Genomic DNA, 14,016 nt, shown 5'->3' with positions numbered 1-14,016 from the left:
CACAGTACTTATTCGAGACATTGATCATTGAACAGGTCCCTCTGTATTATGATGATTTCTGTGTCTGTTTGTCTAAATGGAGAGTTCTGGTGTCTCCAAAGCTCAGCCCAGAGCCAGACACAAAGCAGGTGGTCACTCCAAAAAGGATGGGTAGATGGAAGGATGGGTGGGTGTGTGGGTGGGTGGGTGAGTGGATGAAAGGGTGGGTGGATGGATGGGTGGGTGGGTGGGTGGATGAAAGAGTGGGTGGATGGATGGGTGGGTGAGTGGGTCGAGAGATGGATGAGTGGGTGGACAGCAAATGAAGCACACCTAGAGGATGGGGAACTACTCTATTCTATATTCTAGAACAGGGATAGCATCTGTTTCTAAGGAGACCTACATCTAAAAGCATCTGCTCCCAAGTCTAAGTCAAAAAGCATAACAGGGTATGCATGCTAAGGGCGGTTGGGCTGGCCCCCTCCTCCTCCTGACTGCCCCTTCCCCCTGGTTTCCCAGATAACCCATTAGAAACCTGCCAGGGGTCTCCAAGGTGTAGTTCCCTGAATGCCTGCAGCAGAATCACCTGAAGAGTTTGTTAAAATGCAGGCTTCTGGGCCCTTCCCTCAGAGATTCTGATTCTGCGAGCCTGAGGAAGGGCCTGGGAATATGTATGTTTAAATCAGCACCAACCAAGTGAGGCTGATGTGAAGGTAAGTTTGATACCACTCATCAACACAGTACAAGGACATGCCAGAAACTGCCTTTGCTGACAGTCCACCCACAAAGGCTTAAAGAAACGACCCTGCCTCACAGACACCAAACGGTAGAAAGTGCCTATGGAGTCTTCAAACATCTAGAAGTCCAGGGAGAGGGAGGGCTTCCAACTCCCTCCACACATCTCACCCCACCCCTGGCCCGACCCGAGCCTGAGGGGGCAGGCCCAGTCCCTAAAGAAAAATGGCCTTCCCCTCCCCAAAAGCGACAGTAAGCCCGGCCTGCCTTGTGCTCCCCAATCCCCAGCGAAGCCCACAGTGGGAGGTGGGGAGTGCTTTATTCCCTGTTTACCACGGCAGAGAAGCCAGCAGCTGTTTTCAGTGTCTGTTTCTACCTAAACACAGCTCACGCTCCCAAACATGGGCTCTGCCAGCAAACGTTAGCAGACCTGGAACACGAGTCCCCCATTGGGTTCAGGCTGGAAAGGGCTCAAGAATGAAGACAGGACCAGAAGATGGTTCTGGACGGGGGCACAGCCAAACATCTTGGCAACTATAAGTGGGCAAGCAGCCCTCCCAGGCCAGCTGGTGAGCTCCTGGAAGGAGCAGAAAGGGCCCATTGGAAGGCAAAAGAAAACAAACAATGACATCCAAACATCTGTTTGTTCCTGTGGCCCAATAACCTGAGCTCCAGCCACACTAGGTCTTCTGCTGAATACCTACTATGTGCCAGGCCCTATATTTGGTGCCTTGCTATTTAGGTTAATCCCCACAATAGCCTTAGGAGACAGGTAACATCATGATGCCCATTTCACATACAAGGACACTGAGGTTCAGGAAAGCAAAGTGACTTGCCCAGACCTTGAGTGGGTCAGCCCAGATGCAGAGGCAGAGCTGGAGTCCATGCTCCTCTACTTTTCCGGGCTCCCTTGCTGCAGCTGCGCTGTTCACCACGCACATGCCAGGCAGTCTGGCCCTGTCCACGCTGCTCCTCCACCTGGAATACCTGACCTCTGGTGCCATGAACGTAGTCCTTCTGGTTCTTCAGAGCCACAGGCCACTTTTTCCCTGAAGCCCTTCTGGATCCCATCTCCCATCCAAATAGAGAAGTTAAGTGCTCTGTTCCCACACACACTGCTTGGCCTGGCATTCAGCCCCATTTTCATCTGTCTTAACAGTTGCTGAGATTCACAACAGTCCCCCTAAATCTCAATCTCCCACCCCCACCTCTGCTGCTGCCACCACCCAGCCTCTGCCCATCACATCCCTGTCCCCAGCACCTAACTCGGAGCCTCCGCAGCCTTCAGGCTGACCCTCTGGGGCACCACACAGGTCCAGAGCCCATATGTAGACTGAGGAATAAATAAATTGCCCCTCCCAGCCACGGGCAGCCAGTCATTACTGAGGGTGGTATGGCCTATTGACCTAATGGAAGAACACTGAATTTTAAGCTTAAAAGCCTAGCTTTGAGACTTGGTTCTGAAACTAATTCACTGTGTGATATTGAGCCTCTCTGGACCTCAGGTTCCATCTGTAGAATGGGTGGGTGAATGGAAGACATGATCTCTATGTTCCATAGCTCTGTTAAACACTTAAATGTTCAGTGAATGAGGACATTTGAGTCTTTATCAAGGGTCTAATCCATTGAGACCACAGAGTGGCTGCAGATGCCTGCCTGAGGGCAACTGAGACAGGCTCAGCTGGACCCAAAGTTCTGACTGTGAGTAGGAAGACAAGTTTGAGTGGGTCAGCTAAAGAGCTTTGAATACCAAGAAAGGAACATGGAACTGACTTAGTATGGCAGGGGAGTGATTGTTGCTCCCTCAGGAGGGAAGGACAGGAGAGTGAGGCGAGGGATCACTCATCTGGCACTGATGTGAGGGGTGACAGAAAGAGGACCTGGGCCTGAGACACTACTTGGGTGCCTGCTCAATGTAGGAAGCCTGGTTGTCATGAGCCGAGGGTCTGTACCAGCATGAGTGGCAGTGGGATTGAAGAAGGGAGGTGTTTTGGAAACATCTCAAAAGAAGAATCTCTAGGATTCCTAGAGATTTCAGCATGCAGCGTGGAGGAGAAAAGGAAACACAGATGGCTCAGAAGCTTGATCCTGGGGTTGGTGAGTTTCAGAGTACAGTGGGTTGAGGGGCTGAGTACCTGTGGCTCCAGTATTGAGGGGCAGGGGCTAAGGAAAAAGAGACAAGGGAAAGACCTGGGTGCCAGTCTCCATTCCTGCTCCTAACCATAGCAGATCATCATTCCATTCTGAGCCCATTTTGTCACCAGTGAAATGGGGGGAAAGAATCCTGCCTACCTGATAGGGATGCTGTGGGGCCTTCATGCACTAATGGATATGCAGTGTCTGTATAGGGTAAGCCTCATAAACATTGACTATTATAATGGCTATGTGTCCGCGATCCATTTTTATTTCACAATTTAATAATAATAGCTACCATTTATTGATCACCTGCCCTGTGCCAGGCACTGTACTAAGTAATTTGTTTACACTCATGATCTGATTTCTTCCTCATAAGAATTCCATAAGAACCCCTTGCATTGTGTGGACGGTTAACTCTGAAGATCAGAGAACTCACGCAACTTTCCTGAGACAGCACAGCGGCTGAGAAGCAGTCACTGCCAACCAGCGTTCCATAAGCCCCTAACAGGTCCCGGGCACTGGTCGGAACACAAAGAGGTGTAGAATCTGGGTTGGTCCTTCAAGGCAGCTCATTGCAGCTACTGGCCTCCAGTGAAACAGGTCTCTTTGAGCTATTTGTTCTGGAATTTTATTCTCTGCTGTGAATGTTGATAGACAGGGAACAAATATCCCCTGGTTGGACTCTCTGAGCACGGGGCACTGGAAAAAGATGTCAAGCCCTGAGACCATTGTTCACGATGAGCGGCCGCACCTGCCCATCCAACAGCCTTTTATCCAACTTGGCTGGGTGCTATTATTCAGCTCTGAGCCATCACCAGGAGCTGCAAAGCAGTTAATTACAGAAGTATAATCCCCTTCTTCACAAGAAGCTGATCTTCTAGGGTTGCGAGAAGATAAGATTTATGCCTCTTTCAATTCCTTTATTCTCTCATCAACATAGATTCATATTTCAGTTTCCTGCATTGGAAACAAAAAGGAAACTCGCTCGGCCCACTGCTGCCTGAGAGAGATAAATTAGGCTACACAAAGAACCAGTCCTATAAACTCAATCTCTTCCCCTTCCTTTCATGTTTGTGATTATAAACAGAGTCAAGGGCAGTTGAAATACAACCCTCTGCCTGCCTGCCTGTCTTGTCCTAATCAAAGAGAGGAGACAAATGCAGTGATAGCAATCCATGTGGTGCCAGGAAAGAGGGACATAGGCCCCCCACGATCCCATGCCAGCCTGGTGAGCAGATCAGATAGAAAGACCTTTGTCTCCAACCATTCTCTGGTCACAAAATTGTTTCCAAAGGCCACAGAGAGAAGCTGGATGCTGCGCCACTGCAAATGCTTTCATTTTCTTGATGGCAACGTGTATGATGCTATTTGCTCAAAAGAAAGGACCTTTCGATTTGGCGGGCTGTGCAGTGTGACTGTGCCAGGGCCCCTGGCCAGTCTCAGAAGTGTGCGGACAGAGGTCGCCAGCAGATCAGACCACAGAACAAGGCCAGTGTTGGCAGCTCTGAGGAACAGAGAGGTTCCAGGCTCTTCTGACAGGAAAGGCCCACTTACTGAGAGCAGTCCTGAGCGAAATGACGTTATCCTACCCAGGAATCAGGGTGGGTTTTTGGATTGTTGTTTTTGCTGTTCAACTGCTTTTGTTGTTTTTTCGAGTGTCGCTGGAGTTATTAACTGCGGAGAGTTCAGTTGGCAGATGAGGAACAAGGGGGCCACAGAAAAGAGCCAATTTGCTCAAGGACCCAGGGCAAACGTGTGGCAGCACTGAGGATGACAAAAGTCCCGATGACAACAGTGGATCGTGGCGCTTGCTGTAAAGTGTCAGACACTGTGCTAAGCATCATCATCCCTCACCTTCATGACAACTAAAAAGTAAACATCATCACCCACACTTTACAGAGAAGGAAACTGAGGCATAGAGGAGGCAAGATACTTGTTAGAGGCCACACATTGGCCAACTCTGGAGCCCATGTAGCCCACTGCCATGCAATTCTGCCTCCCTCAGGTACGGCTTTCTGGCATCCAGACTTTTCCTGGAGGACTTTTTGCAACTGCTGATTGGCGAAGGGGAAAATCTAATTTTTTAAGGATAATGAAGAAAGGGAGGAAGGGAAGAGAAGAAACAGAATATAAGAGACAAGTTGGCCCCTGTAATAAAATGTCATCCCACAAGATGTAAGGCAACAGTCTTTAATAGACTTCGAGATTCAATTATCCCTTTATATGTGCAGCAGACCCATCATCGTCTAAATCATCCATTCGCCGTGAATACACCCTAATTCACAAATAAAATATAAAGCAAATCAAGTTTGAGAGCTGTGTAGCCTCTGAGCCATCACTCCTCGAAGACACACACCTCAGCATTCACTCCCAAGGGAAGAAGGTTAATAAAAGCCTTGGGCACTGTCTCTAGCTCAAGGCCTAGGGCATGTCTCACAGATGGCTAAGAAGAGCTCTGTGATTCAGATGCAGAATCCATCTTTTCCATTCTGGGGCTTTTAAAGCATGTTCTTCTGATCTCTCCTGGCCACCCTCTCTCAAGCCCTCAGATGGCAACTCTTGACTCTCTCTGGATCATTCCCATTTTCTCCCCCAAAAGACTTTACAGATGTGATATCTCCATTGAATGCCAACATATTCAATTTTTCTAGCAGCTGCCAGGGTAAGGACATGCCAGCTCAGCCCCACTTTTCTAGGTAGCCCCACTTTTCTTCTTTGGCACATGCATCAGCCTTGCCAGAAAGGCTGATGATCCACCCTGCACAGGTCCCATTTAACTAGCTCCTAAATCCCACTTCCTATTCTGTCCGTCTCCAGTATTTTTTTTTTTAGTTTTCCTCCTTTAAGTTATAAAAGTAATACATGTTCATTGTAACAGGTTATTCAACAGAGTTGTATAAAGCAAAGTTCCTTATTCTCATCTAGCCCAATTTCACATACCAGTGAGTTACCAACAGTCTGATATGTGCAGTGGTGTGATCTTGGCTCACTGCAACATCTGCCTCCTGGGTTCAAGTGATTCTCCTGCTCCAGCCTCCTGAGTAGCTGGGATTACAGGTGCCCACCACCACACCTGGCTAATTTTTGTATTTTTAGTACAGACGGGGTTTCACCGTGTTGGCCAGGCTGGTCTTGAACTCCTGACCTCAGGTGATCTGCCCGCCTCGGCCTCCCAAACGGTTAAACATGATTTTTGCTTTTATTTTTTTCTTACAAATATGAGATCACACCATACATATTTCTCTACATCTTGTTATTCAGAATTAACAAAATATCATGGATGTCTTTTCAGGTAAGATAAGGATGTCTGTTCCATTCTTTTCAATTATGTTGCATGCATGATTTTATGTGGTATGACTGAGACATCATTTACTAAGCCATCCTATATCCTGACCCTCCTAGATGGCATGCCTGGTCTCTCATATCTCTGAATGGCATGGTTTCCCTCCATTGATAAACCGCTTATCTTTGGCAAGGCCGTTTCCACGATGGCTTAGCCTTGGAGAGGGGAGTCCTTTTCCATGCAATATTCCTGAGAACAGTCCCTGCCAAGGTAATCTCCTGGCCTTTCAGGAAAGACCCAGACAGACTTGTAAAAGCCGGTTTCACTGCCATGAAATCTGGACTTCCTTTGGCAATGAAAAAACAAAACAAAACACAAAGCATAACTAAACCCTTAAGATATCATAAACAGGCAAGCAAAAATACAACACATAAACCCAATACCCGCCAGGAAGACTTAGGAAAACAATCCTTGAGAACGCAAAAAGACGTTGTTTATCAAAGAAAGATTTTTATAATGCCAATGCTGCATTTTATTAGAGAGAGAAGAGGCCTGAAGAGGAGGCAGCCTACAGAAGATTTCTGTACTCATTTAAACTGAATGCTAAAACACTCTATGCCTGAAATGTTGCAAAACTGGAAGTAAATTCTTTGAGGCAATCTGCTTTCCTAGAGCTCTTTTATGGAAGTCACATTCGAACGGTTTTAGAAATCAAAATGAAATCTCATAAAATGTATTAAGAGTTTGTCCCCTTTAGAACTAGTTACACCATTTCTGGAACTCTATCCTAAAAAAAAAAAACAAAAAACAAAAAACAAAAACAAAAAAAAAACAGGAATGCCAGCAAAGATACACATATGAGGATATTTATCCAGCATTACTTATAATTTTAAAAAATAGAAAACAAACTAAATGGTCTAAAACAGGAAAATGTAATAGTACGCAACTATTAAAAGAGATATTCACAGTATTGAATTCCAAGAATAAATGCTTATGTTATGATATTAAGAGAGAAATACAATTGTATGTTCAATCTGTGTAAAAATACACATAGAAAACAGTGGAAGGAAATAAATACACCAGCATATTAACAGTGGTTATCTCTGGGTGGTAGAACCACATATTTTTTTCTTCTTCTCTTTCACTTTTCTGTAATTTAAAAACTTTCTAAAATTAACCTGCATTACTTTTATAATGGATTAAATTAAACCACACAAAAAAATAGAATTGATTCTACTGACTATTTTTAGGATCATGGGCTGGTACATATGACAAGGAACAGGCATGGATTAGGCTAAGGGTTTTCTGGGTTGGGGGCAGTGATGGAGAAAATCCTCCAGCTTTTTGGTATCTTTAAGGGTGTGGACCCTCTAATCCAATACCTTCTACAGAACAATTAGCACACAATGAAAACTTAATAACATCAAATAGATGACATTGCCAATTCACTCGACATTTAGTATGCACATACTATGTGCCAGGCACTAGGAGGAAATAACCAACTTTGTATTCTAGATCATTTAAAAAAAAAATCAAAACTACACTTTGTCCCTATCATCATATATGAAATGTAGCACATTGATTCCCTCAATTTTCCTTCCATTGTTTTCAGAAAGGCAAACAAAAAGAAAAATGAACAAGTTGAGATTTGCCGTGGACATCAGGAAGGAACATATTGGAAGTAATCCCAGGACCTTCAACCGTCTCTGTTAAGTGTGTTTATTCTTCGTTAGAGCCAGCTCTGGGAAAAGAGGCAGCCAGGCAGTTATCAAACCAAGGTTTCCAGTTTCTCCTGCCTGTTCTGAAAAATTTTGACAGATGGGTCCTCTCAGCAGGACCAGTAAATTGTTATTAATCCATTCATTCAATCAATACCTACTATGTGTCACCCTCTTTTAGGAGCTGGGAGCAATGCAGAGAATCAAGGTCCTTGCACTCATGGTACTTACATTCTAATGCAAGAGACAGGCAACAGACAAATAAAATAGAAACTAATATTATTCAGGTCATGATCACTGCTATGGAAAAATTAATAAGACAGATTAAGGAATAGAGTGACAAAAGGCTCTTTTCTAGATAGAGTATTAAGAAAAGTCTTCCCTAAAGAGGTGATATTTGAGCAGATGACTGAGTAATTGAGAGGATTGAGTGAGATGAGTATTTGGAGTAGTGTTCTATGTTGAAAGAGCAAATGCAAAGGCCCTGAGGCAGGAATGCGCAAGAAAAGCCATCTAGCAGGAGCACTGTGAGCAAAGAGGAGAACAGATAGAAAGTGAAGTCAGGGATGAAGTCAGGCTAGATCATGTAGGGTCTTTTGGGGCATGGTAAAGGCTTCTGATTGTATTCTAAGAGTGATGAGGGGCCACTGGATAGTTTTGAGCTGGTGGGGTGGGGTAAAATGATCTGATTCAGGTTTTAAAAAATCACTCTGGCTACCATGTCAGGGGAACAAGTGTAAATACGAATTTGAGCTAAGATGCTGTTGCAGAGACCCCGTGAAAGATGATGGCGGGGATGATGAGAAGCAGTACAATTCGAGGTGTATTTTTAAGATGGAGTTCATGACTGAATGTGAGGCAAGAGCAGAAAAGCATCAAGGAAGATTCTAAGGTCTTCTGGCATAAGAAACTGAGTAAATGTTGGTGCTATTTAGTGATATGGAAATACGGGGGGAGGAGTGGGTGTTTTGTTTTGTTTTAAAGGGACATAGCAGATGCTGTTGATACCCAGCCCATATCCCTTTGGCTTTACCACATCAGTGCACACTGGTTTACTTTCAACTGTAGCATTTGCATCTTTTTGCCTGCGGGTTTTCTCCTAAACTGGAGAGAACCACTCTGCCTGTGTGCCCAGCACACCACATGGGAGCAGCTGTTAATAACCTACACTCACAAGTTGGTGTATAAATACCTCAGCTCCCTTCCCTGAGTGGGAGTGGGAAGACAGATCATTCTGACCTGTGTGTCCTACACCACCATTCCCAGGATTCACCAGTGGAATTGAGCTCCAGTCTTCCACGGGAGTAGCAATCCTTTATTGGCCTTTCTCCCTTCCCAGCTTGTTCTCAATTCCCTGCCAACGGTTCCTGAACCTCCCAAATAAATTGCTTACGCTTGAATCCTTGCCTCTGGATCTGGTCTGGGAGAATCCAAACTAAGAGAGGGAAATCAAAAACAACTTCCAATTCCTTTTACCCCATTTTTCTTTCCATCTACTGCTAATCTCACCTTTTGGTCATTCATTCTCACTGCCTGTAGCAGGACAATGGCAGCAGAATCAAGATAATCAGTGAACCTCGGTTCTATATGGTAGGAACCAAATGGAGTAATTTTAATAAACCAGATTGCCACCTGCTCTCCCCATCCTAATCCCTGGGCCTGCTAATCATTAGTCTCCTTTTCTTTTCCAACTACTCCAATGCAGCGACCTCACCTTGCTTTCAAATTTTCAAAAATAGCAAAGAATAGAAAGGACGTTGATCTGAGAGAATCTAGGGAGCTGCCAAATGGGACAGGCAGGGGAATGAAGGATTTTTTTCTGTCCCCCTTCTTCACTACACAGTTCAGCAAATGCCTGGAGACTGGAAGTCCACAAACTATCAGCAGCCACATCAAATGCTATTTATTAAGCATTGCCTCTATGAGGAACTAAATCCTCTCATCAAAAGCTGGGGACAAAGAGACCTGACTTGCCGTATGCCATCTCTCTTAGGGAAGCACATTTGTTTACACAGTAGCATTTTATATGTCACAAATGACTCAGAATCATCACTTTCCATTTGCTCTGTTGGTATGGACTGACTGTTGGGGGGAGGGGGTGAAAAAAAAAAAAAAAGCAAAAGCTGCCCAAAGATCCTTTGGCTTGAGCAAAAAAATGCTTGGTACAAATGAACTGTTGTCAATGTCCATCAGGCACTATGTAAACATGGCCACCCCTTCTACAAATGAGAAGGTAGTGGATGCATAGCCATGTTGCAGCAAGGATGCTGGAATCTGTACCCCTGGCATATCAAGGGGCACTGAGATTGGACACTGGCTGTGGAATCAGTTAGATCTGGGATCAAACTCCTGGCTAGCCATTTACTAGCTGGTGACTTTAGGGATGATATTATTTAGCTTCTTTGGGCCTTGGATATCTCACGTACTTAGTGGAGATAATAATATACTCATTCATGGCGGGGCTGAGATGGATAACAGTCAGTGACAAGCAGAGCAGGCATTGCATCGCTATTAGTTCCCTCCTCTGTTCAGCTACTTGTAGCTGAGGGCAACCTGCAAATCTACCCTGACTCATTAAAGGCCCGAGAAAAAAACATTTCAGTGATTTTCAAGACAAGGGATTGTCACTGAGAAAACAAGGATGATGCCCATAATAAATGTTCCTCCCCAGGCCCTCGGTGCTTCTTCCCAAGGTCCCTGTGCGGTAGGTGTGAGCTTCTTGAACACTATCTCATACTTCTGCATCCTAGCACTAACTGCAGGGCCTGGCGCACAGTAGGAAAGCAAGCTTGGTGCTTTGGAAGTAGCACAAACTTCTGAGTCAGACGAGCCTGGGTTCAAGTTTCAGTTCTGCCACTTGCCTTTGAGTAACTTACTTCCATGAGCCTTGGTATCCTTATCTGTAAAACATCTAATGATGTCCACTTTACAGTGTTGAACTGAGATAAGAGATGCAGAGCCTAGTACAGTGCTTGGAACATTGTAGACACTCAAAAAATGTTACCCTTTATTAAGAAATAATGAACTCATGGATAAGAAGAACTCGATTCAATGAACAACACACACCTCCACACACACACACATACACACACACAATAAAAACATGCCATATCACATTTTCGTTTATGCATATCAAGATGTAGCCCCAGCTATTTATTATAGTGCAAAGGTTTCTTCACCTCTTTGTGCAGCATAATCATAGCAAGCTCTGATCTGTACTTGGGATGTACAGACTGAACAGATCACACAGTCCACCCCATCCCACCTCCCATCACCTCTCCATCCCAACACACATGTAAGGAAAATCTGGTTACAAATAAGGCCAAGGTAACCTCACAGCATCTCTCTCCAAATATATATTAACACAAATGGAATTCTCCTCTTTGCAGTGGAAAAAACAGACAGATGCCACCTTAATCAGTGATCAGATGTCATCGACAGCAATGTGTCTTATTAACAGCACCAATAATAAGACATATTGATATTATGTACTCCAGTATGATGCATGGAGAAACTTCAAAACCCCAGTCTAATCATGAGAAAATACTGGACAAATCCAAACTGAGTAACAATCTAAAAAATAACTGAGCAGTACTCTTAAAAAGTGTTAAGGTCACGAAAGACAAGGAAATAATGAGGAACCATCACAGATTGGAGAAGACATAAAAACTAAATGCTATGTAGGACCCTGAACTGGATCTGAATGAAGTTTGTAGTTCTTTTTTTTTTTTTTTTGTTAAACATCGAGGTAGCCTCAAAGGGGAAAAAGATTGACAAAAGATCCAACCAAAAGGTTCATGGAAGATGGAAAGCTAATCCTTCTGAATTTGGCTGAACAATTGGGGATGAGGAAGATTTATGAAAAGATTAAAGTCTAAGCTCCATTTTTTTCTTTTTCTTTTTTTAACCTGAGCACCAATAGTATTTTCTCTCTTATCCTTATCCCCTCAAATCCAACCTACAGTGAGAGAATAAATTTGAGCCACTTCATCGTAGTTTCAGTGGCATAATAAGCTCCTGTATTTTCATCAGTTATCAATATAAACATTAGATGGCATAAAATTAGATGGCTCTTTAGAAATAATGTGTCATGTAACTGCCAAACTGAGGTGTAATCCAAGGTTTAATATTTTCTAAAAAGTGGGCCTCTTACTTTTTAGAAGAAGTGCAGCCCACCTGCCCAATTTCAGTTAAGTTTCACTTTTAAAGTTGCACAGGAGCCCAAGTAAGCCTTCACTTTGTATCTGAGCAGAACGAGGGCCCAGGAAAGGAAAGTTGCTCATGCTCTGCCCATGTGGTGGTGAACAGAACCACTGCAGGATACCACACTACTTTCTCCCAGCTGCTATGATTTACTGCAGCCTTATTGTCCTGACCAAGAATGAGACCAGTTTACAAGTATTATGCAGTCACAGACACATGGGCCCTACCTAGACCTCTGAATCAGACTCCTTAATGCTGAAGCCTAAACATCTCTACCAAGAAAAGTGTTCTCTAAGACTCAAGTACAGAGCATGTGCTGAGACAAGATTCTTCAAGCTGGTATGTGTGTATGTGCGGGCACACGCATGCTTGTACAAGTCTTAAGATGTCTAGGACATATCTGTAGAGTTGTTCTATATCATTTCCATGTTCCTTCCCAGACCCTCTGCCCTCCATCCCAAATGCTTTTCTTGCCCCTCTCCACTGTGTCTTTGCCCACATCTTGTGCTTCAGGCTCCACTCTATGTAGCATTTGACCCCCTGGCCTTTACCAGCCTTCCTGTTTCAATGTACCTGAGATGAGATGGCAGCAGCTTTGGGGAAGCAGAATCCATTCGTACATTCATTCATTCATTCATTCATATGTCACAGACTATTTGAAGTTCTGGGGATACAGTCATACAATATAGACAAGATGTTTATTTTCAGGGAGCTTACATATTAATGGGAGGAGACAGTCAATAAACAAAGGAAGATACAAGAAAATAGCAGTAATGATGAGTGTTGTGGTGAAACTGAATCAGGATGACGTGACAGAGAGTAACAAGGGGGTACATGAGTTTGGGTGGTCAAGGGAGGACTTATTTGAAGAGGTCACATTGAAATTCAGCTCTAAACAAGAGAGGGCCAGCTCTGCAATAACTGGGTGAAGAGGGTTCCAGCAAAGGGAACAGCTAGTGCAAGGACCCTAAGGCAGGATAAAACTTGGCAGGTTGAAGAAAGAAAGATAGTATGTCTGGATTATAGTGAGTGAAGGGGTAGGGAGTGGTACCAGATTGAGTCCAGATCACATAGGGCACAGTAATTAGTGGGGGAAGACAATAATTCTAAACACAAAAGTGATAGAATCTAACTTACATTTTAAACAAATATTTTGGCTGCTACTGTGTGGTGAATGGACTGGGATGGTGAAAATGGGTCAGAAGATTAGAAGCAGGGAAGTTAAATGAAAAGGATCTTGCAGTTAACCAGGTAAAGGATGATGATGCCTGGGTTAGGGTGGTGGAGATAAGAACAGTGAATGGATTTAGGATATATTTTAGAATAAAAGCGGATCGAATTTGTTGATGGGTGAGCTGTGGGGAATGAAAGAGGGAATCAAGATTGTTCCCAGGTTTTTGCTTTGAGTGCACTAATGATGGCACCATTAGTTGACATAAGGAGCCCTGGGAGAGGAAGAGATTGGGGGCAGGAAAGGAAGAGTTTGACTTAGACATGTTAATTTGAGATATTTATTAATGAACCCACTGAAGCCCCCATCTCATACTTTATATCTATCACTATACCAAGAACTATGAGATCCAAGACCTTGCCTTCCTTTTCAATTCCTTGTTAAGCAGGAATAAAGTGAAAAATTACTGAATAAAATATTCAGTTTTTTTGCAAAACACTCTTACGTTCAGAGGTTTGGTAGCAGAGCCATATCTTCCCAGGCAGGCATAAGTAGCCAATCAATCTCCATGTCATACCAAGCAACGGTCCAAGGGGCAAACTAATTAAAAATTTAATCCCATGATTTTCATCTTAATCTCTTTTTCCCATTAGCTTTGATCAATGCCTACAACTACAATTTAACCAAACTTTTCATTTAGATAAATGACTCAGTGGGGTACCTATTTAGTCCGTTTGTTATGAACCAATGGATAACTAAAATGTATATGCTAATTACTAAAGACCACACAC

This window comes from Homo sapiens, chromosome 11, assembly GCF_000001405.40.
Source record: "Homo sapiens chromosome 11, GRCh38.p14 Primary Assembly".
Classification (NCBI taxonomy): Eukaryota; Metazoa; Chordata; class Mammalia; order Primates; family Hominidae; genus Homo; species Homo sapiens.
This window is presented reverse-complemented; position numbering follows the sequence as displayed.